At 37.8% G+C, this 24,592-nt stretch overlaps 1 long non-coding RNA gene across 1 annotated transcript; it reads right to left on the reverse strand.

The window, feature by feature from the left end:
• Positions 1 to 13,916: 13,916 nt before the first annotated feature.
• On the reverse strand, positions 13,917 to 23,999 carry LOC105375628 (uncharacterized). The gene is made up of 4 exons (XR_928382.3): positions 23,833 to 23,999; positions 17,048 to 17,186; positions 16,241 to 16,306; positions 13,917 to 14,059 (listed from the first exon to the last, which is right to left on the reverse strand). It is a non-coding gene; the product is annotated as an uncharacterized LOC105375628 (long non-coding RNA).
• Between the last annotated feature and the right edge of the window lie 593 nt (positions 24,000 to 24,592).

Here is a 24,592-nt window from a genome sequence, read left to right on the forward strand (position 1 = left end):
CGGGCATGGTGGCTCATGCTTGTAATCCTAGCATTTTGAGAGGCCAAGGTGGGTGGATCACTTGAGACCAGGAGTTCGCGACCAGCCTGGCCAACATGGTGAAATGCCACGTCTACTAAAGATACTAAAAATTAGACTGGCATGGTGGCCTGTGCCTGCAAACCCAGCTACTATGGAGGCTGAGGCGGGAGAATTGCTTGAACCTTGGAGGCAGATGTTGCAGTGAGCTGAGATTGTGCCACTGCACTCCAGCCTGGGTGACAAAGCAAGACCCCATCTTGAAAAAATAAATAAAGGAGGAGCTAATTCTCTCTCCTAGTGATTCTTGTGTGTGTGTGTGTGTGTGTGTGTGTCTGTGTTCAAAGTGGGAATGAAAATGAGAGTTAACACTTTACCTTGGCCTCAGAAATACCCTAAGAAGTTTACATGTATACATCAATTCATTTAATTCTTTGAGCAATATTTAGATTGGTGCAAAATGAAAGTAATGGCAAAAAACTGCAATTACTTTTGCACCAACCTAAACATCAGGAAGTTACCATTATTATCTCCATTTTACAGTGGAGACTTAAACACTTAAGGAATGTGCTCATGATCTTTCAGCAAGTAGAGAAAACGAAGTTTGAATCTAACTTTAACTGTGTACTTAACCAGTATGCTATAAACTGCCTCCCTGTTTCACAATTCTTCAGTAGAAGCATGGCTGTTTTGAAAGGCCAAGACTGTGTTATTGCGGCAAGAGTGAAGGTTTTAAAGGAAACTGTTCAAAGTCAATTTCATTGAGACTTAAGAAACAAAATATGATCACTTTTAAACTTAGATCTAATTTTTTTTTCAAAATACTACTTTTGTTATGCACATCAATTTTTCATGTAGCTAAATATACTTTTTAATTGAAGATGTATTTTCAACCAATATTGAGCTTCAACCACTGTTCAAATTTTATCTGCCCTTAACTGAGATTAGCTCAAACTTTGTGTTTGAATAAAAGCGTTGAGTTATTAAAAAAATAATTCCTTTGCCTCTTGAGCAGAAGGAGTTTTTAGTACCCCAAAAGTACAGGAGATACATGGGACCAGAAATTAAATTGTAATGCTTGGTTAGGATCAAGTTTTAAAAGACTCTTGAAAACATATGAGGATATTTTATTCAAAGAGTCTTTTGGAGCTATCCAGGGATTATAAGCAGTGGACCTGCAATATGTAATTATGCTTCCTACATATGATTATATATAGGCTTAGCTACAAGAATGTGTTGACCAGTATGTTGATCACCCTCTTATACCTAGTGTTTAACAAGCAGTGTTATTAAATTTGAAATAATAAATCAATTGATAGCACAGAGAAAGCTTGAAAGAAGAAATAGAAGAGTACATGAGAGATGAAAAAGGCCTGATCTGAATTGGTAGTAGTGAGGTGAAGATAAAGAAACTAACAAGAAAATCTTTATTGTCCAGGTGAATCATGTTGATTTAGGTTTTTAGACATCTCCTCATTCATTCTCAGGTTTGCTTTGCCTCTTTCTCTGCCACTGCCTCTCTGCTGTCATGAAAAAGAACACTGAGGTTAAATTCGGAGTAACTTCTAGCCTAGTTGCTATGTATTAGGTAATGAGACTATGAATTTTTGTTGCGCCTTAGTTTCCACACCTCTGAGATGAGTTAAAAGTAATACTTAACTCAAAGGGTATTTATGAGGCTTGTGATATGTGAAAAAAGTGGAACAAAGCATTCAATGATTTGTTTGATCTGAATATAATTTATTATGAAGGAAGTGCGATTTAACTTGCAGTCAATACAAAACCCTTGTGAAAATAAGCGTAACACAGCTATTCTTACGTGTGTCCATAAAGTATACTTCGTTAAAATTTTAAAACATAAGAATAACATTAATAGTGTAAGCAAAACATTTATAAGTTCCAAACTGTGAGAATATGAAAAGTTAAACATTTGTGTCACTTTAAAAAGGTAGCTTGATTTATTCAAGCTTAAAATAATTAGTGAGGCAGAACTAAAAAACAAAAACAAAAAAACTATTCCGAAATTCATATGGAACCAAAAAAGATCCCAAATAGCCAAAGCAATCCTGATCAAAAAGAGCAAAACCAGAGACATCACAATACCAGACTTCAAACTATACTACAGAGCCACAGTAACCAAACAGTATGGTACTGCTACAAAAACAGACACATAGACCAATGTAACAGGATAGAGAACCCAGAAATAAAGCCACACACCTACAGCCATCTGCTCTTCAGTGAAGGTGGCAATAACAAGCAATGGGGAAAGGACTCCCTATTCAATAAATGGTGCTGGGATAACTGGCTAGCCATATGCAGAAGACTGAAACTGGACCCACACCTTTTACCTTATATAAAACTTAACTCAAGATGGATTAAAGACTTAAATGTAAGACCTAACTGTAAAAAAATCCTAGAAGAAAATCTAGGAAATACCATTCTGGACACTGGGTTTGACAAATAATTTATGACTCAGTTCCAACAAGCAATTGCAACAAAAACAAACATTGACAACATGGGACCTCATTAAATTAAAGAGCTTCTGCACAGCAAAGGAAACTATTAACAGCATAAATAGGCAACCTATAGAGTGGGAGAAAATATTCACAAACTGTATTTGACAAAGGTCTAATATTTAGAACCTATAAGGAACCTAATTCAACAAGCAAAAAGCAAATAACCCCATTAAAAAATGGACAAAGGACATAAGTAGATACTTCTCAACAGAAGACACATATGCAACCAACAAAGATATTAAAAAGTCTCAATATCACTAATCATTAGAGAAATGCAAATCAAAACCACAATGAGATACTATCTCCTACCAGTCAAAATGGCTATAATTAAAATGTCAAAAATTAACAGATGTTGGTGAGGTTGCAGAGAAAAGGGAACACTTATACGTGTTGGCAGGAATGTAAATTAGTTCAGCCACTGTGGAAAGCCATTTGGAGATTTCTCAAAGAACTTAAAACTATCATTCAACCCAGAAATCCCATTACTGGGTATATACCCAATAGAAAATAAATCATCCTACCAAAAGACACATGCACTTGAATGTTCACTGCAGCATTATTCACATTAGCAAAGACATGGAAGCAACCTAGATGCCCACCAACCATGGACTGCATAAATAAAATATGGTACATGTATACCATGGAATACTATGCAGCCATAAAAAGGATGAAATCATGTCCTTTGCAGTAACATGAACACAGCTGGAGGCCACTATACAAGGCAAATTAAGTCAGAAACTGAAAACCAAAGACTGAGTGGGAGCTAAATAATGAGTACACACAGACACAAAGATGAGAACAGTAGATATTAGGAACTACTAGATGGAGGACAGTGGGAAAGAGGCAAGAGTCGAAAAACTATCTGGTACTATGCTCACTACCTGGGTGACAGAAGTATCCCTACACCAAACCTCAGCAACATGCAATTTACCCATGTAACAAACCTGCACATGTACCCTCTGAACCTAAAATAAAAGAAAAAACAATGAAAACAACACCAACTATAACAACAAATTAGTGAGGTGGTTAGAAGTACAGGCTTTAGACCATGATGGGCCTAGTTTTGTCATTAGTAGAATATGCGGAGCGATAGCAATTTCACATGGTTACTATACAGATTAAAAATATATGCTTTATTGAGATATAACAAATGCTCAATCAATGCTACTTTTTTAGACCTGAAGTTAATATATATTATCTTTTCAAAATCATATCAATTTTTAGAATCCTAGCTGATAAATTTTTGAATATTTATTTACCTAAAGTGACTTACAGATGACTCCACATAACATTGTCTACAGAACTATGGTGCCAAAGCACAGATGTTTTGTTTCATATGAATGTGTCTTCTGAGCCTAGGTCATTACTGATGGAGTTCCTGTTACCAGTTATGTCAGCTTTGACATAGTCCAAAGGGCGTATATAGAAGCATCTCAAAAATAGTTTTATCATCCTAAAGCTTTGTTGGTTGTAAGTTTAGTTTCTGTGTTCCTTCCATACTATTTTTTGAAATTTTTATATTTTTTACCGGAAGACTTTTGTTTCTCAAAAACTTAAACTCTATTTCTATAAACTAAATTAAAATAAATAAAAATCATGAAATTCTAGCTCTAAACATGCACATTATTCTTATGTTTTAAATCATTCATAAAATTTTTATATGAACAGAATGGCCCACAAAAGATAAATCCATAACTACTTTCTGTATTTTGTCTGTTATCACTTGAGATAAAATATTGCAGCTTTTGTATTTCTTTTCTTAGAATATATCCATACCACACATTAGTAGGGAATCTTGTTTGAGGAATTCTTTCCCAAATTTAAGTTTTGGCTAACAAAGGAGTACAGTGGATGACAATGTTATGCTTTACGTTAGTGATTCTCTATCCAGGCCATATAGTAACATCACCTGAGAACTTGTAAGATACACTTCTTCCAGCAGAACCATCCAATGCCAATTTAAATCTGAATTCCAGGGGTGGGTCCCAAACATGGAATTTTTTCTTATCCTAGTTTCCCAGATGGTTCTGATTTACAGAGAAAAAGCCACTGCTTTACACTTGAGAACCCTCAAAAACATGACTGATCTTTTTTATTTCAGATTTTAGACAATGCTACACCTACACAGGTTTAAGTCCTACCACTTTCAGTTGTTTCCCTGACCTTTGACTTTTACACATTTTGTTTGCTACAGGTTTGCTGCATATGGTTGGCACACTGTGCACTGGACAATGGAATGTGGCTGACCAGGCATTGGGAGAGATGGAAATCCAACCCGCTGAATGCTCACAACCGTGCAATCTACCATTCCCCTCATGAACGGATGCCCTTGTCCTACTTACTGCATGGACTAGCTGCAGTTCTGTGAACATAAATAAGAATTTGTGAGTTTCTGTTTTGTTTCTAGCGACTTTTTTTTTCAAAAATTCAATTTCTAACCAAACTGTACATGTAGAAACAAAGAGAAATAATCAATTAGGTCAATAAGAATTTGTTTACTTGGTTTTATGGTTTTTTTCTCTACCAATTGAATTCCTTTATTAATAAAGGAATTTATAACTTGTAGTTCAAGAAATAATTGTAAAATATCAGAAAGAGCATTGGACTAGGAAATAGAAATCCAAACACTAGTTACTGGCCTTCTGATCATGTACAAATCACTTGAGTCTCTAAGCCTTAGTTTCCCCAACTTTGAAATGAAAGAAAAATGTATGTTTTCTGGCCATTCACAGGATTATTATTAGAAAAAAAGTGTTTCCAGCCATTCACAGGATTATTATTAGAAAAAAAGTGTTTCTGAATACCATTTTTTTTTTTTTTTTTTACCGGTTCTCGCTCTGTCGCCCAGGCTGGAGTGCAGTGGCGTGATCTCGGCTCACTGCAAGCTCTGCCTTCCGGGTTTACTCCATTCTCCTGCCTCAGCCTCCTGAGTAGCTGGGACTACAGGCGCCCGCCAGCATTCCTGGCTAATTTTTTGTATTTTTGGTAGAGAAGGGGTTTCACCATGTTAGCCAGGATGGTCTCAATCTCCTGACCTCGTAATACGCCTGCCTCAGCCTCCCAAAGTGCTGGGATTACAGGCGTGAGCCACTGCACTAGGCCTCTGAATACCTTTTATAAAATACAGCTATGTTCTTGAAAGTCCCCTGCTCAAAAGGCCTTCAATGGCTCCCAGTTGCATGTGAACTGAGCTTGGCTGACAAGGATAATTACCAGGAGACGGTAAGTTTTTCTACCTCACCCCTCAGAGATTTCAATTCTAATTTAGTGAGGCTGTGATGAGACCAAGAAACTCATATTATTGAAAGCACACTTGAAGATTTTGAGTATTAACCAGATTTAGACAGTATTCAACTATAGAACATAAAAGTGAGGATGAGGTGTAAGGAAGAACAAGGCTGGGGCATTATAGAAACTGAAAGCCCTTTGCAAGTCACCCTCACTTCCAGACCCCACCCCAACCTGCTGCTTTCAGGAACCATTCAGGATTAATACATCTCAGTTGAGACCCAGAGATGTATCATTTGGAAAAGCATTCCTCATTATTTTAATTACTCCTTCCTTCTGCAACCTGGTTAGGCACCATTGCTTTAGTGTATAATTGTTTAATAAAGCTTTATTCCAAAGCATGTCATTCAAGGTCATCTGTGATTGGCAATGACCTGTCTTCCCAAGTTTATCTTCCACTACTAATCCTCATATATGCCACAGTCCAGCTAAACCCAACTAAATTCATTTTCCTGAACGGAGCCTAAATGTTCCAACCTCTTTGTCTTTGTACATTCCTTCCTATAGATTGCCCTTCCGTCCTTACATGGATTTAGATTTTTGAGTTTGAAATTCACAGAATTGATGGGGGAGGGGTTAAAGCAAGCCTTTTTAAGAAAATGTATATAAAATTAGGTACAATAGTAATTATATATTTAGAAGGGATCCATACATGTGAGAAGTTCTAAAGCTTAACTTCATTAACTTTAAATTAAATACATTTTTAATTGTTTTGAAACTGTATGGACCATTCCAGACCTAGCTGTAAAGCTCCCTCCCAGCAGGCACTTTATCTGATCCTCCTTAATATATTCCACAATGTGTATTGATTTCTCTTTTCTGGAATTTACCATATCTATTCTTGTAGAGTGTTGTAGTCGTGCAGGGTAGTATCATGAAGGATTAACCAATAACACTTTTTCTACAACTCCTTGAACCTTGTGGCTCTTCCCACCAGTTCAGAAAGCTGATACAATGCACAGTTATAGCTATGAGAAGTGTCCTACAGCATATTACAAAAAATCTGGAAACAATTCTTGGCTTTTTAATTTAGCCATTCTTATATAACGACTGCCAGAAATAACTTAACTGTACAGAGAAGTGACTACAAACCAGACACATATGCTCCATTCAGTCCAAACTAAATGAATCCCCAACTTAATCCCCCTTATCAGATTCCATCTCACACTGCTGATAAGACAGGCAATAGAAATGAAATAACACTGATATGGTTAGGCTTTGTGTCCCCACCCAAATCTCATCTTGAATTATAATTCCCATAATCCCCATGTGTCAAAGGAGAGACCAGGTGGAGGTTAATTTGATCAAGGGGGAGGTTTCCCCGATGCTGCTCTCATAATAGTAACTTCTCATGAGATCTGATGGTTTTATAAGTGTTTGGTAATTCCTCCTGCATTCATTATCCCTCCTGCAGCCTTGTGAAGGAGGTGCCTTGTTTCCCCTTTGCCTTACACCATGATTGTAAGTTTCCTGAGGTCTCTGCAACCATGCTGAACTGTGAGCCAATTATATCTCTTTCCTTTATAAATTACTCAGCCTCAGGCAGTGTATTAGTTCATTTTCTCACTGCTGATAAAGAGATACCTGAGACTGGGCAATTTACAAAAGAAAGAGGTTTAATTGGACTTACAGTTCCACATGGCTGGAGAAGCCTCATAATCATGGCAGAAGGCAAAGAGGGGCAAGTCACATCTTACATGGATGGCAGCAGGCGAGAGAGAGAGAGTTTATGTAGGGGAACTCCTCTTTTTAGAACCATCTGATCTCATGAGACTTACTCACTATCATGAGAACAGCATGGGAAAGACTTGACCCCATGGTTCAATTACCTCCCACCAGATCTCTCCCACAAGACGTGGGAATTCAAGATGAGATTTGGGTGGGGACACAGCCAAACCATATCATTCTGCCCCTGGTCCCACCCAAATCTCAAGTCCTCACATTTCAAAACCAATTATGCCTTCCCAACACCCCTCTAAAGTCTTTTTTTGTTGTTGTTGAGACTGAGTCTCACTCTGTCACCCAGGCTTGAGTGCAGTGGCACGATCTCAGCTCACTGCAAACTCTGCCTCCTGGGTTCATGCCATTCTCCTGCCTCAGCCACCCGAGTAACTGGGACTACAGGTGCCTGCCACCACACCCAGCTAATTTTTTGTATTTTTAGTAGAGACAGGGTTTCACTGTGTTAGCCAGGATGGCCTTGATTTCCTGACCTTGTGATCCACCCACCTCGGCCTCCCAAAGTGCTGGGATTACAGGCGTGAGCCACTGCCCCTGACCTAAAGTCTTAATTCCTTTCAGCATTAACTCAAAAGTTCACAGTCCAATGTCTTACTTGAGACAAGGCAAGTCCCTTCCACCTATGAGCCTGTAAAATCAAAAGCAAGTTAGTTACTTCCTAGATACAATGAGGGTACAGGCATTGGGTAAATAGAGCCATTCCAAATGGGAAAAATTGGCCAAAACAAAGGGGCTACAATGCAAGTCCGAAATCCAGAGGGACAGTCAAATCTTAAACCTCCAGAATGATCTCCTTTGACTCCATGTCTCACATTTAGGTCATGCTGATGCAAGAGGTGGGTCCCCATGGTCTTGAGCAGCTCTGCCCCTGTGGCTTTGCAGGGTACAGACTCCCTCCTGGCTGCTTTCATGGGCTGGCATTGAGTTTCTGTGACTTTTCCAGGCACACAGTGCAAGCTGTCACTGGATCTACCATTCTAGGTTCTGGAGGACAGTGGCCCTCTTCTCACAGTGCCACTAGGCAGTGCCCCAGTAGGGACTCTGTGTGGGGGCTCTGACCCCATATTTCCCTTCCACGCTGCCATAGCAGATTTTTTCCATGAAGGTCCCAACCCTGCACCTAACTTCTGCCTGGGCACCCAGGCATTTCCATACCTCTTCTGAAAAATGGGCAGAGGTTCACAAACCCCAGTACTTGACTTCTGTGCACCCCCAGGCTCAACACCATGTGGAAGCTACCAAGGTTTGGGATTTGCACTATCTGACCATGGCCCTAGCTGTACATTGGCCCCTTCCAACCATGGCTAGAGCAGCTGGCACACAGGGCATCAAGTTCCTAGGCTGCATACAAAATGGGGACCCTGGGCCCAGCCCAGAAAAACACTTTTTCCTCCTAGGCCTCCTGGCCTGTGATGGGAGGGGCTGCTGTGAAGACCTCTGACACGCCCTGGAGATAGTTTCCCCATTGTCTTGGGAATTAACATTTGGCCCCTGGTTACTTATGCAAATTTTTGCAGCCAGCTTGAATTTCTCCTCAGAAAATGTGATTTTCTTGTCTATCACATTGTCAGGCTGCAAATTTTCCAAACTTTTATGCTCTGCTTCCTTTATAAAATTGAATGCCTTTAACAGCACCCAAGTCACCTCTTGAACACTTTGCTGTTTAGAAATTTCTTCTGCCAGATACCCTAAATCGTCTCTTTCAAGTTCAAAGTTCCACAAGTCTCTAGGACAAGGGCAAAATGCTGCCAGTCCCTTTGCTAAAACATAACAAGAATCACCTCTGCTCCAGTTCCTGACAAGCTCATCATTTCCATCTGAGAGCATCTCAGCCTGGACTTATTGTCTATATTGCTATCAACATTTTCACCAAAGCCATTTAACAAGTCTCTAGGGAGTTCCAAACTTTCCCAGATTTTCCTATCTTCTTCTAAGCCCCCCAAACTGATCCAACCTCTGCCTGTTACGCAGTTCCAAAGTCGTATCCATATTTTTTGTTATGTTTTTAGCAACACCCCACTCTCCTGATATCAATTTACTGTATTAGTTCATTTTCTCACTGCTAATAAAGACATACCCAAGATTGGGCAATTTACAAAAGAAAGAGATTTAACTGGACTTATATTTCCACATGGCTGGGGAAGCCTCACAATCATGGCAGAAGTCAAGGAGGAGCAAGTCATGTCTTACACGGATGGCAGCAGGCAAAGAGAGGAGAGCTTGTTCAGGAGAATTCCTCTTTTTAAAACCATCAGATCTCATGAGACTTATTCCTATCATGAGAACAGCACAGGAAAGACTTGCCCCCATGATTCAATTATTTTCCACCAGGTTCCTCCCACAACATGTGGGAATTCAAGATGAGATTTTGGTGGGGACACAGCCAAACCATATCAGGCAGTACTTTACAACAGTGTGAGAATGAATTAATACAAGCACAACTCAAAATCTTACCCCTCCCCCTATTTCAAAACTCATCCTTACCACTAGTCCTCTACCATCTGAGCTATTGTTTCTGTCCCCCTGCCAGATCATAAATCTTACCCCTCTCAGGACCTCCAGACTGGCTTTACTTTGTTCTTTGGCTCCAAATATCTGTCTTATTTCTAAGAAATCTCAGGATTCGAGTCAGTGGAGGAAGCCATAGTCCATCCTGTCACTAACTCTTATTTTTTCATTTATTTATTTATTTATTTATTTATTTATTTATTTATTTATTTATTTATTTTTAGACAGACTTTTGCTCTTGTCGCCCAGGTTGGAGTGCAATTGGCATGATCTCGGCTCACTGCAACCTCTGCCTTCTGGGTTCAAGCGATTCTCCTGCCTCAGCCTCCTGAGTAGCTGGGATTACAGGCATGCACCACCATGCTCAGCTAATTTTTGTATTTTTAGTAGAGACGGGGTTTCTCCATGTTGGTCAGGCCGGTCTTGAACTCCCAACTCAGGTGATCCGCCCGTATCAGCCTCCCAAAGTGCTGGGATTACAGGTGTGAGCCATGGTGCATCCAGCCTATTTTTTTTTCATCTTTTAAGACCAAGTGAAATGCCACTGTTTCTTCAAAGCTTTTAGGAAATTTATTTACTTATTTTTCTTGGTTGATTTTTTTCATAGTTTTTATTCCCATTCCATTCCAAGCTCTCCAGATCGTTTTTGCTCTCCTTCCTCAGGGAGGATTAAGTTGCCAGGACCCAAGCAGTAGTTAGTCAAAAATACTATCTTTCTTGGATTTTAAGGAATTAAGTGTTGATCACAAACTCAGATATCTACATGAGCCATGCAAGTAATCAGGGTGAAGGAGTATCAGTGTACCTTCTAACTGGCAAGCGTACACCTCATTAAAGAACACAACTCCAAACAATGGTGATCACATGGGCATGCCACATTTCCAGATTTTTGAAAAGAAGGTAAAAATCTGTATTTAATGGCAAATCTCCTGAATTTTAAACAGAAAATCAAATACATGCTGATGAAAAGCAAACCTGTATGCTAACTGAAGCCCACAATCCACCAGTTTGGAACCTTTTTCCTAAATGCCTACCAGAGAATTATGCTGAAATGATCGGCCATGGCTAGTAGCAATCACAGAGGAAAAATTTACCTAAGAGGTAAACTGGGCAGAAAATGTGGATTGATTATATAATAGCTGAGATCTTCATGCCTTTCTCTGGAGTGGTGTGTACCAGGGCCCCTACCCTTGGCAAAATTAATTTTCTATGGCTACCGTAAACATTACAACAATCTTGGTGCTTAAAACAACACAAATTGATTCTCTTATCATTCTGGCAGCCAAAGGTCTGACAACAGTTTCACTAGGTTAGAGTCAAGGTGTTTGCTGCACAGGTTCTTCCTGGAGTCTCTAGGAGAGAATGTGTTTCCCTGTCTTGTTTAGCTTCTGGAGCCTGCCTGCACTCCTTTGTTCACGACCCCTCTCTGGAGTCACTCCAAATTCTTTCTTCCATCATCACATCTGCTACTTCCTTCTTTGACTTGCTTATCACTCTCCTGTATGTACCCTTGTGATTACGTTGACAGCCCATCTGGATAATAAGGATACTGTCCCCATCTCCAAATCCATAACTTAATCACATCTGCAAGTTCCCTTTGTCACATTAGGTGACACAGGTTCCAGGGACTGGGATGTGCATCTTTCAAAGGGCCCTTTTTTCAGCTTACCTCGAAGCACCAAATTGCTACATAAAGTATTATGTGGGTTTGGACAATGATAGATAATACCTGTTCCCCTTTTACGGGTAGCAAAGGAGCCTATTGAAGTTTTCTGTAACCCTAATGAAAGAAACTGGCCACCTAATAACAAGTAAGATAGGATTTTCCTTCAGTCCACAGGGAGAAAGGCTGGAGAAGCATTTAACTTAATTTAAAGTGTGACACTTCCTTGACTTTGTGAAGTAGATACTTATCTACAACAGGAATTCTGACTTCCTCGAAGAGAACTTTCCTCTCCTCTGTATTCATTTGGAACCAACTCCATAGTCTACATACTCTACTCTAAAGCTTGCTACATTTACTAAAATTGAGTTTATTTGTGTGTCTGTGTCCTGGACTAAAAGAGTTATTTTTGTGTTAAAAACCATTCCCCAGGGCCAGGTGTATTACATAAATATTAAATTGTATCAATAAGGAAATAAATAAGTTGCAAGGTAAGAGTATGGAAAAATGCTCTAAACACTGTGTTTTGATTTTTCGTTTTTATACTTTACTAAAAAAAAAAGTGGAGAGAAAGATTGAAGGGCAAAAAACAGTTATTGAGGAGCCTGTCTTTATTTCACCTTCAAAACAACCTTCCAGAAGGGTTATTTGAATTTTTACAGATAAGAAAATTACGTAATTTATCCAAAACTACTTAGGGACTAAGTAGTAAAATTGGATGTAGAGTAGTTACTGTGTTGTTCTTGACACCGTATTTCTTTGACATTGCATTATTTCTATTTATTTAGAACATCATATTTATGTAGAATTTGTTCATCAGATCTTTTTTTCTAGTTTCCCATGGATTGGTCAAATTATTGCTCTGTTTGCTGAAAATAGTACATGCTCCTTCTCCCTCCTGCTTTTTTCCTTTCCTCCAACTCCCACTGCCCCTTCAGGGATGAGGCACAGTTACTTCCTGGGGCCAAATGGAATCCTGCTGTGCGTGAACACAGGAAAGAAGCTGTGCTTCTTCCTTTCCTCACTCCCTCCCCTGAATAAATCCTGGCTGCTCTGGGAGTGTTTATTCAGGCGAGCGTTTCCATCCCACAGGGGAGAAAACCAGGCTCATTAAATCCTGAATAGTACTTAGTATTGCTTAGATAAATTTTTTAAAAAGAGGATTTGGTTTTGAATATTAGAAAAAAAGTGTATGAACTGGCACATGAAACAATCTCCTCAGGGAAGTGTTGAAATCCATAAAATTTAAGTTACAAATTTTAGGAAGTATGCCAAACAGGTAGATGCTGACTGAAAAATGAAGTACATCTCTAAATAAGATCCATTCCCATTTCCAGTGATTTTATAATTCATCCCTTATTTCTGACTTTAAAGTATGTATTTGAGACCTCCACCAGAGATTCTTGTTACAATTGCAAGTTCACCCTGATTCCCAGCCTGTTTTCTCATGTAAAGACAGCAAGCTTCCTTGCAATGCAGGGATGAGATTGAACTCTCACTGAAATGTTCAATGCATATTGTTATAATTACTTCATTTCAAAATAATATGATTTTTGTTATCTTTTAAATAACCAAGATATCAAATATAGTCCACTAGCTGTCACAGAGCTACACTAGTGAAATAAATGCACAAAATCACCTTGACAAATCTCAACAATATCCCACCTTTTTTTTTTTTTTTTTTTTGCTGAAATGAAGTTGCGTGAACACGGCTCACTGCAGGGTCAACTTCCTGGGCTCAAGCGATCTTCCAACCTCAGCCTCCTGAGTATCTGGGACTACAGGCACATATCATCAACCTTGGCAAATTTTTTTTAATTATTATTTTTTGTAGAGACGGGGTCTCACTATATTGCCCAGGGTGGTCTCTAACTCTTGGGCTCAAATGATCCTCCTACCTCAGCCTCCCAAAGTGCTGGGATTATAGGCTTTAGCCACTGTGCCTAGTCAATCCTTCACTTTTAACTACTGAAAAGAGTTGGTAGTCAACAGCAATTATTTCAACCAGATTTTGTTCGGATTTCTAACCTTTATAAATTCAAATTTCTAAGAAACTTCCCTCCTAGAGTTTTCTTCAAAGTCTATTTTTTTTAAAAAAATTGTAAGAACAAATATGTTTTAGGGGGTCTTCTTTTTCTTTAATACTTTTTTATTTTGTTTATAGTCTTATATGTATCATTCCATCTGAAGATGATTTACCATAGGTGTAGTCACTCATGATTTTGGAGTTTTTATTCATCATGTAATTTTTAAGTAGCTTTTAATTCATCTTCATAATACTTGAAGAATTCGCAAACAGGACTTTTCTTCCAGAAAGACTTATGGCCTAAATGCAATTAAATAGTTAAAAATTAAAGTCTGTGATAATTTTTTTTTATTATGAATGCTATCAATTGCTTAATGTTTAAATGATATGTAGGTTATAAATATACAAACAATTCCATGAATATTATTATTATATTATAACCTTATCTGTATTTTTCTGCCTCAAATTATTATTTAATATTTAGAAACGTGCTGGTTCAAAATGTTTTAATAAAATATTGAGCTAATAATCCTCATGCAATAATTATATTAATTGTTAATGTTTTTCCCTCTTTTAACTATTTTGAAGTTTCTTCACAACTATTTCTATACATAGAGCTAGAATTTTTCATAATCTTGAAATATTAGGTACAATTAACATTCTATATGACTGATAAAATTTTACCATATAAAGCACAAAAGAAAATTTCACTCCACATTACATCTAGAATGTTAAACACTATTAAAAAGTGAATATTAAGATATTAAAAATTAATGTAAATGGCACACAGTCATCTTAATATCAGTGCTACCATGCTTTTAGGTATGTTGTTAGCCTATGCAATCACATTAATATCAATGATGCACAAATTCAAGGTTACCAGGAAAATATTATTGAAGTTGGCATTTGGTTATTTTTGGCTTTCCAAAAACTGAAATTGCACCTGAAAAGCAGATTTTGACCAGAGAGCAGATAGCAGAATATTGAGGCCAAATCCAAAATTGGATGCAACTGAAGTAATTTTATTAATCAATAAGAAGAGGTAGTCAACACAATGGAAATTCTCATGTATAAAACTACTGAAAAAATGTTAAATGTTACTAGTTTGGAATGCAGAATAACAACGTGTTTTACTGGCTTTATAATGGATACAACCTAAGTTTAATGATGTCCTTTTGTTTAGAGACAGAGTCTGGCTCTGTCACCCAAGCTGAAGGCACCATTGTAGCTCACTGCATCCTTGAACTACTGGGCTTAAGTGATCCTTCTGCAGCAGCTTCCCACGTAGCTAAGACTACAGGCACATGCCACTGTACCTGCTAATTTTTTGTAGATACAGGTTATCACTTTATTGCTCAGCCTGTTCTCAAACTCCTGGCTTGAAGCAATTCTCCTGCTTTGGCCTCCCAAAGGCTGTGATTACAGGCGTGAGCCACCATGCTCAGCTAATGATGTCACATTTTACTAAGAGTTCAAAAATGCTATTAAAATACAAACTACGGAAATCAACTGCTCCCATTATTTTGCAGCTTTTTAAAATAATGTTCTTCAAATTCAACCTCACTTCAAGCATTCCAGTGTTCATGTAACAAAACAAGTAACAAAAGTTATTAGAAGAAAATAGATTTTCTTACTGAGGAGAAGGAACACTGGTAATTTCAATGCTCAAATATGTGTGTGTTGCCTACATACAGCAGATTCCCCAGCAATTAAAAATGGCCACTCAAAATGTCAGTAAACCAAGACATCTGTGTTTACGTAGTAAAACAAATTGGACTTCATAAAAGCCATGATAAAAAAAAAAAGGGTATGTATCATATCTATTGTGAACACAATCCTGATGCCCTGGAGTTGCTTTTACTGACTCACAAAAGCCAATTGTTAAAAATCAGGAATTATGTGAGAAGCTGTTGAGGCACTGGTGACTTCAAATCAGCCACGGTGGGAATATATATACCATGATAATTGGAAAATCAGAGCTTCTTTTTTTTGTTCTTTTTGTAGGGTGGTGATGTTCTAGCTTTCCTTTTCTGCAAGCCATTTTACCAGCACACCCTTAACTACAACCCAAGCATTCAATTCAAACATTTAAAAAACTAGGCATAAACTTGATCTTGGGTCATATTTTCACAATTATATAAAATTCATAGATGCCAATTTATATTTCATTTTTCTTTATTTTTGTATCCACAATTTGTTCTCTTTGCCCCTCAAAAGAAAATGCTAGTAGCTTTTCTGCTTTTAAGTATGAATTTCATGGGATTTTTCATGCTATAGCAAAGGTGAAAAACAATTTTTGATCAAAAGAAAAACATTTTAATGCTCAACACAACAGATGTTCAAAGACAGCTTTGGAGTAAGCATCAGTACCATCTGGATGACCTGCCACCATATGCAGATGGGAAATTGCTACTTAATAGTTTCTGTGAGAAGGACAGTGTAAAATATTATAGTATTTAAAATTAAATGATGTTTGCATACCCAAAGTTGATATCATTTTCAGATGTTCTTCAATTCACTGGTTATTATGATTTATTCCAGACATTACTTGAAAGGAAATAAAAGTAAATTTTTTATAATAGATTAAAAGTTTATTAGTTACTGAAATTGATCATAAAGCCACATATAATTTTATCTTTTTTTTAAAAAAAGATGTAATGTGTAAGTATATATGTCTAGGACAAACAAAACAAGAAAGACCCCATCAAGATCTCTAATGAAATGCATTATTTATGTAACTGTTTCATAGTTTTCACAAAAATAACCCCTTGATCTGGGTTCTGAAAGTTGTAAAGAAAAAAATAATTATTATAATCGCAGTGAGAAAATTCTCTATTTTAGTGTTCAGTAGTCCCTTTTACCACTTTTTATTTCTTATTTGTTTTTCCATCTAACAAGAAATAGATTCTTAATGATGAGGAATAATTTTTAAAATTGGAGGAATCTTACTGAGACTGTGAGACCACAAAGCATAACAAGGTATGCAGCAACAAATATAAACAAACTTGTCAACTAACATTTAGACTTTCAGCCAGAGCTGTTCTTTTATTTCTTTTTTATTTCTTTTTCCTTCTTTTTTCTTTTCTTTTTTTTTTTTTTTTTTTTTTGAGACAGGATCTCGCTCTGTCACTCAGGCTGGCATGCAGTGGCATGATTACAGCTCACTACAGCCTCGACCTCCCAGGCTCAAGGGATCCTCCTTATTTAGCCTCCCAAGTAGCTGGGACTACAAACTCATGCCACCACAACCAGCTTATTTTTAAATTTTCTGTAGAGATGGGGTCTTACCATGTTGCCCAAGCTGGTCTCGATCAAGTGATCACCCACCTCTGCCTCCGAAAGTGCTGGGATTGTACGTGTGTGCCACTGTGTCTGGTCCTGGATCTGTTCTAATCTGTATGGAGCTCTATCAACTCTTATTCAATAACTATTTGAAAGATAAAGAACAATGAAAAATGGCAAATCTTAATTATTTGCATATGTGATTTATTATTTAAATAAAGCTGTTTACAGAAAGTAGTGAATCAATTACATTGTTAGTAGTTTCCAAATGATGATGAGCATTCAAAAACATCCAATCTCTGAACAATTGTTTCTCTATTAGTGCAAGAAATGACATGTCTGGCAATTTAAAAATGAACTTGACACACTTTGTAATATATAATGTGCTGTCAATATGTATATGTAATATATGTGATATGCAGTGAGTATGCGCGCACATATGTACAAAACAACCATAAAGTCACCATACTTAAGCTCTCTCTTAATTATTAGCATTTGAGAGACGATTCCATATAAGGGGTCCTCAGGCACCTCCCCTCCCTAATTCTTTACACATAGTAGTCTTTCAATAATCATTTTATGAAAGAAGGAAGCAATGAATAAACAGTGAATGAAAACCTATTCAAGGTTTGATTTTTACCATTAAAAACACAACCACACACACAAACTCTGTATTACAAATTTTCCATACTATTTCATGTTTTAAAATGTGTCTCTAACTCAAAGATAGCATCAATGGCTGCATTCACAAAGCTGAATAACCAAAAAGTAGTCTGTAGAAAAAAATGATTCATTATGTTGTGCTTCGGTACCCTTACTTTAAAAAGCATCTTACTCACAATTAGTTCCACTTACAGCCAAGGCAACTAAAATACTATCTCTCAGTGTCCTGGCCTCTATCCATTGTGAGAGAAGATAGGTAAACTACTCTTTTGCTGAAAAATGTTATCCTCTATGGGATGAAAGAAATAGTGTTCGAACTCGAACAGTGCTTTCCTGTAAAGCCTGTGAAAACACTTTATGTCCTATAGGAACTGAATAAAATCTCCTTTTGAGACCACAGGATATCATTCTGGTGAACTACAGTATCCTTTTCAGTGGATTATACACTATTTAACCGCATTCTTCAGATACACAAAGGAAGCTGTCTGAGTAAGAGAATCCTTGTTTTTTCATGAACACATCCAAAGGACTCTTCTCCTCAAACAAGGCTGGAAGCATTTAGGTTAATCAGTCAGTAGGTCAGTCTGTCAAAGTATTTTTACCTTACGCGAAAGTTGGTGACTATATTCAGATGATAAGAAAAAAAAATCAAAATATGCTAACTGATTTAAGGAGATTAAATTAAATTAGAGATGTACAAATTACAGAGACTTTTAAAAATTAGGGATATTTTAGCAGTACTAATCTGCCTACGCTATTTCCCTTCTGAAGTCAAAATGCTTGTTCAGACCTCAAAACATTTATAGAGGCTATTTCCCTCTACCTGAGATGCATTTTTATCTGCTGTCTCTCTGACATTATTTATTCATGCTTCAAACCCTGCCTGGTTCAGATGTCACTCACTCTAATACATCTTCACTGATCAGCCCTTCCCCTCTTAAGGGTTGATTATTTATTTATTTAAGTATAATAGACTTTCATTTTTTAGAGCAGTTTCAGGTTCATAGCAAAATTGAGTGCAAAGTACAGAAAGTTCCCTTATAATCCTTACCCTCACACATGCACAACCTCACCTCCCCCACTATTGATTGACATCCAGTACCAGAGGGTACACTTGTTTACACTTGAGAAACCTACATTGACATATCATTACCATTCCAAATCCATACTTTCCATTAGGGTTCATTCTTGGTGTTGTACATTCTTTGTATTTTGACAAGTTGTAATAATCAGAATAATGTATCCATCACTATAGTATCATACAGAATAGTTTCACTGCCCTAAAACTCCTCTGTGTTCTCTCTATTCGTTCCTCCCTTCCTGCTAACCTCTGCCAACCACTGATCTTTTACTTTCTCCATAGTTTCTCCTGTTTCAGACTGTCATATAATTGGAATTGTAAAATAGGTAGCCTTTGAGATTGGCTTCTTTTGCTTGATAATATGCATTTAAGATTCCTCCATGTCTTTCATGGTCTGATGGCTAAATTATTTTTAGTGCTGAATAGTATTTCATTGTCTACATACACTACAGTGTATTTATCCATGAACTACTTGAGGACATCTTGGTTGCTTCCAAATTTTGGCAATTAAAAATAAAGCTGCCACATCCTGTGTGCATTTTTTGTAGATTATTTTTTGAATCAATATATGTATATATAATGAGCTGCTACTTTCGGGCAAGCAGTATAGTACATACTGGAATACATGTGAGTGACATCTGCTATTACATCAGTATGACCTTTGAGAAGATAATGAGAAGTATGGAAACTCCACGTAAAAATATCCATAATAATAACAAATCAATGAATACAACAACACTTATAACACTATAGTGTATGTGCCAGACACATTGCCAAGGGCTTGACATGAACACAATGTTTCATTCAATTACATGACGTTCTGAAAACTCATAACATCTATTCATAGATTTTCAAGAAAAAAGAAGGTTTCAAACAGAAGAAACAAAATCAACATTGCAAATACCACAGAGAGGTCAAAAAAGAAAATTACTAAAAAAGTTTTATTGAATTTTGTGATTGGAAGTTTATTAGTAAACCTAAGAAGAATGTTTAGGGGGCTGATAACAAAAGGCTGGCTGCAGCAGGTTTAGGAGTGAAATGACAAGGAGAAATAATATAGAAACGTAACTGTCACAAGAATCTCGTAATTAAATAATTACAATAAAAACTAAGGGCAGTAAACATTGGTTGAATGCTTACTATTTTCCAGAAACTGTTTCTGTGTGTTAGCTATTATTCCAACCATTTTACATCTAAAAACTGAATTAACCATCACAACAAAACTATAGATAAATATTATCACTTCCCTCAACTTACAGATGCGAAAACCACTGAAAGACAGAGAAGTTGAGAAATTTGCCCTATGAGCACAATTAATCCCACAGAAGCGAGAATATAACCTCTTGACTCAAAAGCCTCATGTCCACTTTGCTATACCAGTTGGCTTATCGTAATAAACATCCCGAGGTAAAAATTTCTCATGCTACTCCATGGACATCCTAATAGAGTCAATTTGAACATTATCTTCCAGCACGATTACACTGTAATTTTTTCTCACCTTTTCAACATTTCAAGTAAGTGTTTTTGCCTCTTCACCCAACCCCTCAAGAATTTTCCGAAGTAATTCCATTCTAATTTATTTTAGGCCATTTTTCTGCACCATAGATACACTATGTAATCTAATGATACCACTTTTGCTAGCACTATTATAACATCTAACACCACCACTACTGAAATTATCCTACAGCGAGGTCCCTTTGCTGTTTTAAAAATAAATATCTTATTAAGAGAATCCAATGGGCCTATTTGAAAGTGAATATCTTCATGAAAGAGATTATTTTTATTTGAATCATGCTTCGTAAACATTACATTGCATTGTGTTGGGGTCAGCACGGGCTTTGGAATCGGATCTAATCAAAGCTACCACTTTCTGACTAAGGGATTTCAGATGGGTCTAACCAAATTTAATGATTTTTGTTTCTGTTTTTAAAGATATACCATGTATACTTCATATGGAGAGCTAGAAATATCCAAAACTGTAAAGCTCTAAGAATAGGATTTGTAGCTTTTTACAGGATTCAATTTATATTAGATGGAATTCTATTAAATGAACTTAAATAAATATTTCTTATTTCTGCTTTCTATCTAGAGCACTCATGGACATTGCCTCAATGGATCAACACAACAGCCTAATAAGCTGAGTCTTATTTCCCAGATGAAGAAATTGAAGATTATAGGAGTTAAGTGACTTGCTACAATTTGGAAGCTAGTGAGTCCAGGTGTTACAGGTATGAGAGGGGCAGGAGAGGGCTCTCCCCTCAGCCCACTACAAAGTCAGGTGATGGTTCAGCAATTACTGCATTTCCTCTCTAAAAGTGATAAATTGGTAGCCAGTGCCAGGGGAGAGGCCAGTTCCTGATGGTCCACACCTCCTAACATTAAAGGGTTAATTAAAGGCAGACCCCAGGGAGGAAAAACATTGACAAAAATGGCGAATTATGATCTTTGGGGTACATGCCACTGGAAAAAGGGAAAAAAGCCTCACATGGCAATATAACGCCACAAACACACTGCATATGCTCACTTCCCAAGGGTAAGGAAAGCGCTGCCTATGCGGGATGCCCAACCTAAGGGAAGACTCATGGGAAAGAGATGAGCCTATAAAGTCCTAGGACCAAGGCCTCCTTTTTGCTGTCTTCTCGTCTCTCTTGGACCTTCAGGCGCCCCGCTTGGGTTTGTTCCAAGTGAATTTTCCTTTTTTGCCTGTTCTAAAGCTTTTTAAATAAATTTCCACTCCTGCTCTGAAACTTGCCTTGGTCTCTTTTTCTGCTTGATGCCCCTCAGTCCAATTATATCTTCTGAGGAGGCAAGGACTGAAGATGCTATGGACCCGCACAGATATGCTGCTGATAACTCGGGGTAATACAGGCTCTTCCACTGCTAACACAGGGAACTAGGATCTAACCCTGAATGACTCTTCAAGCAAACAAGGCCAGAGTGAGATTGAAATGTATTGGCGATCTCCGAAAAACAAAAGCAAAAACAAAATCTGTCTCTATCCGTATATATATTTATATATATATATATACACACATACCTATGTATAGTATATATGTATACATTCATATTCAAAACATTCAATTTTATTAATCTTGAATTCAACCCATTATATTTATATATACACATTTTTTCTATAACTGCATTTCTGTGCCTACTCTAAAATCCATTTTAAAAGATCTGAATAATTCAAACATTTCTGTAAATTACACTTCCCTAAAATCTATACTTATAAAATTTTTTGCAGAAAAATATAGCCCAATTATTTTTTCTTTTTCTTGAATACTTATGTCATATACTGTTTCTTACAATGTGCTGATACTTTCATGCATTTTAAGATTAATATTAATAAGGCAGTCTCAAATGTACTTTGCCCCTCTACACCCTTAATTGTTGATTTGTCTTCACTTGAATAGTCACAGAGGGTTTTTATTCATTAGCTTTAATGTTCATTACTGGCCACTGAAACAAAATAGATTTTACTTTATTTAAATAAATTAGGATTTTGTATTTTGAGATTTTTCTGTATTCATTTTATGATGCTCAAATACTTTTTCTTATTATGTAAGGAGTATTGTATATTCTGGTTTTTGCCATTTCTCATTACTTAAGGAAAGGATTTTCATTGCTAACATAGAGAAAATGTTTATAGATGTGATAGAAATAATGATCATAAGGTTACCTTGTAAGAACATAAATTCCACCCAGAGATCCATAAACACCTCATTAATATTACTAATACAATTACGTACAGTTTTCACACCCAGAAAACCATCTAGATTAAAATGCAATCATCTTAATATAGCAATATTATCGATTTGCATTAACTGCATTAAAGTTGCATAAATACATGAAACCACATCTTTAACTCATTTCTTGTGTAAAAGGTTTAGAAGTATCCCAAGCTTGAAGGAAAATAATAAATACTGAAGAATTATTCCTTAAATATTTTTCTACTTCATATCACCCTTATTTTTAAAGGGCTTTAATTTTTTATTTAATTATCTAAATATCTTGAATTATCAAAAGCACATCTTTTTCCCATTTTTGTTTTTCTATATACTATGTATTTAAAAGAGCTATTTCATGGTCACTGTTACCAAACACGCTAATCAGCCATGTTCTTTTGTAGCACTATTTTCCTAGCATTATTTTCTTCCTGGATAGCTCACTAGGGAAGATACTTTGTATCAGATGGATGTGTTTATGCTTGATTCCCAGCAGGACTTTTGGAGAGTACATATTAGTTTCTATTTCAAGAAGGGAACTGATTTAATAGGCAGTGTCATGTTTAAAATTTAAAATTCTGTTTAATTATTAAGATCTGGTTGACACTGTCTGACTGACTTTCACTTTGGGCCCTGTACTATCACAGTGACATATCGTTCTGCTTTCAAGAGAATTCTGCTTCATGGAAAGAACTACCACTACTAGTCTCTGTAAAAACAGAAAAAGGAACTACCTCTGAGTAAAAAATAAAATAAAATAAAATGTTTATAGATGTAATAAAATTAATAATCTTGGGGGAAGAGGAAAATTAGAAAATGGTACCCTCTGAACTCATGGCCTAGTGGGTAAGTATAAGTTGAACCTGAGCTCTACTCATCTCATCCTGTACAACAGCACATGAACTTTCAAATCATATTTCTTTGTTGCAAATGCCTTTATCAAAACCAGATAAGTGATCAATTTTGTTGTTGTAAAACATATAATGTTGATTCAAAGTACTCTTAAAAAAAAAGTTTCATTGCAGGCCATCTTCCATATGATGAGATTGTATTTTCCAATGTTGTTTTGTAAGGTCACATTTTCCCACATAAACAATGTTGTGCACCACCATCAGAATTATGCTCAATTTTAGGTCCAGTGTTACTCATTGTATCAGACTGGGCCAGTTACACCTGTGATCTTGTGTCTCCTGCAAGAGTGGAATAATATGAACCATACGTGGTTACTGTGAAGGTTAACTGAACAGAGTTGGTAAACTACCCAGAACCAGTGTTTGATGTGTAAGGCAGAGACAACCAGGTTCTAACATCAGGAGGCTCACCTGTGGAAATGGGTTCTTGGAAGTCCTTTTCTCTCATACTCTTGAGAGGTGACAGCGTGCTGGCAGTCCTCACAGCCTTGGCTCGCTCTCGGCGCCTCCTCTGCCTGGGCTCCCACTTTGGCGGCACTTGAGGAGAACTTCAGCCCGCCGCTGCTGAGCCCCTTTCTGGGCTGGCCAAGGCCAGAGCCGGCTCCCTCAGCTTGCTGGGAGGTGTGGAGGAGAGGCGTGGGCGGGAACCCGGGCTGCGCGCGGTGCTTGCGGGCCAGCACGAGTTCCGGGTGGGCGTGGGCTCGGCGGGCCCCGCACTCGGAGTGGCTGGCCGGCGGACCGGCCGGCCCGCCGGCCCCGGGCAGTGAGAGGCTTAGCACCTGGGCCAGCAGCTGCTGTGCTCAATTTTTCGCGGGGCCTTAGCTGCCTTCCCGCGGGGCAGGGCTCGGGACCTGCAGCCGGCCATGCCTGAGCCTCCTCCTGCCTCCGTGGGCTCCTGTGCGGCCCGAGCCTCCCCAACGAGCGCCACCCCCTGCTCCACCGTGCCCAGTCCCATCGACCACCCAAGGGCTAAGGAGTGCGGGCGCACGGCACGGGACTGGCAGGCAGCTCCGCCGCGGCCCTGATGCGGGATCCACTGGGTGAAGCCAGCTGGGCTCCTGAGTCTGGTGGGGACTTGGAGTTAGGGGATTGTAAATACACCAATCGGCACTCTGTATCTAGCTCAAGGTTTGTAAACACACCAATCAGCACCCTGTGTCTAACTCAAGGT

The sequence above is a fragment of the Homo sapiens genome, chromosome 8 (assembly GCF_000001405.40).
Source record: "Homo sapiens chromosome 8, GRCh38.p14 Primary Assembly".
In the NCBI taxonomy this organism is placed as follows: Eukaryota; Metazoa; Chordata; class Mammalia; order Primates; family Hominidae; genus Homo; species Homo sapiens.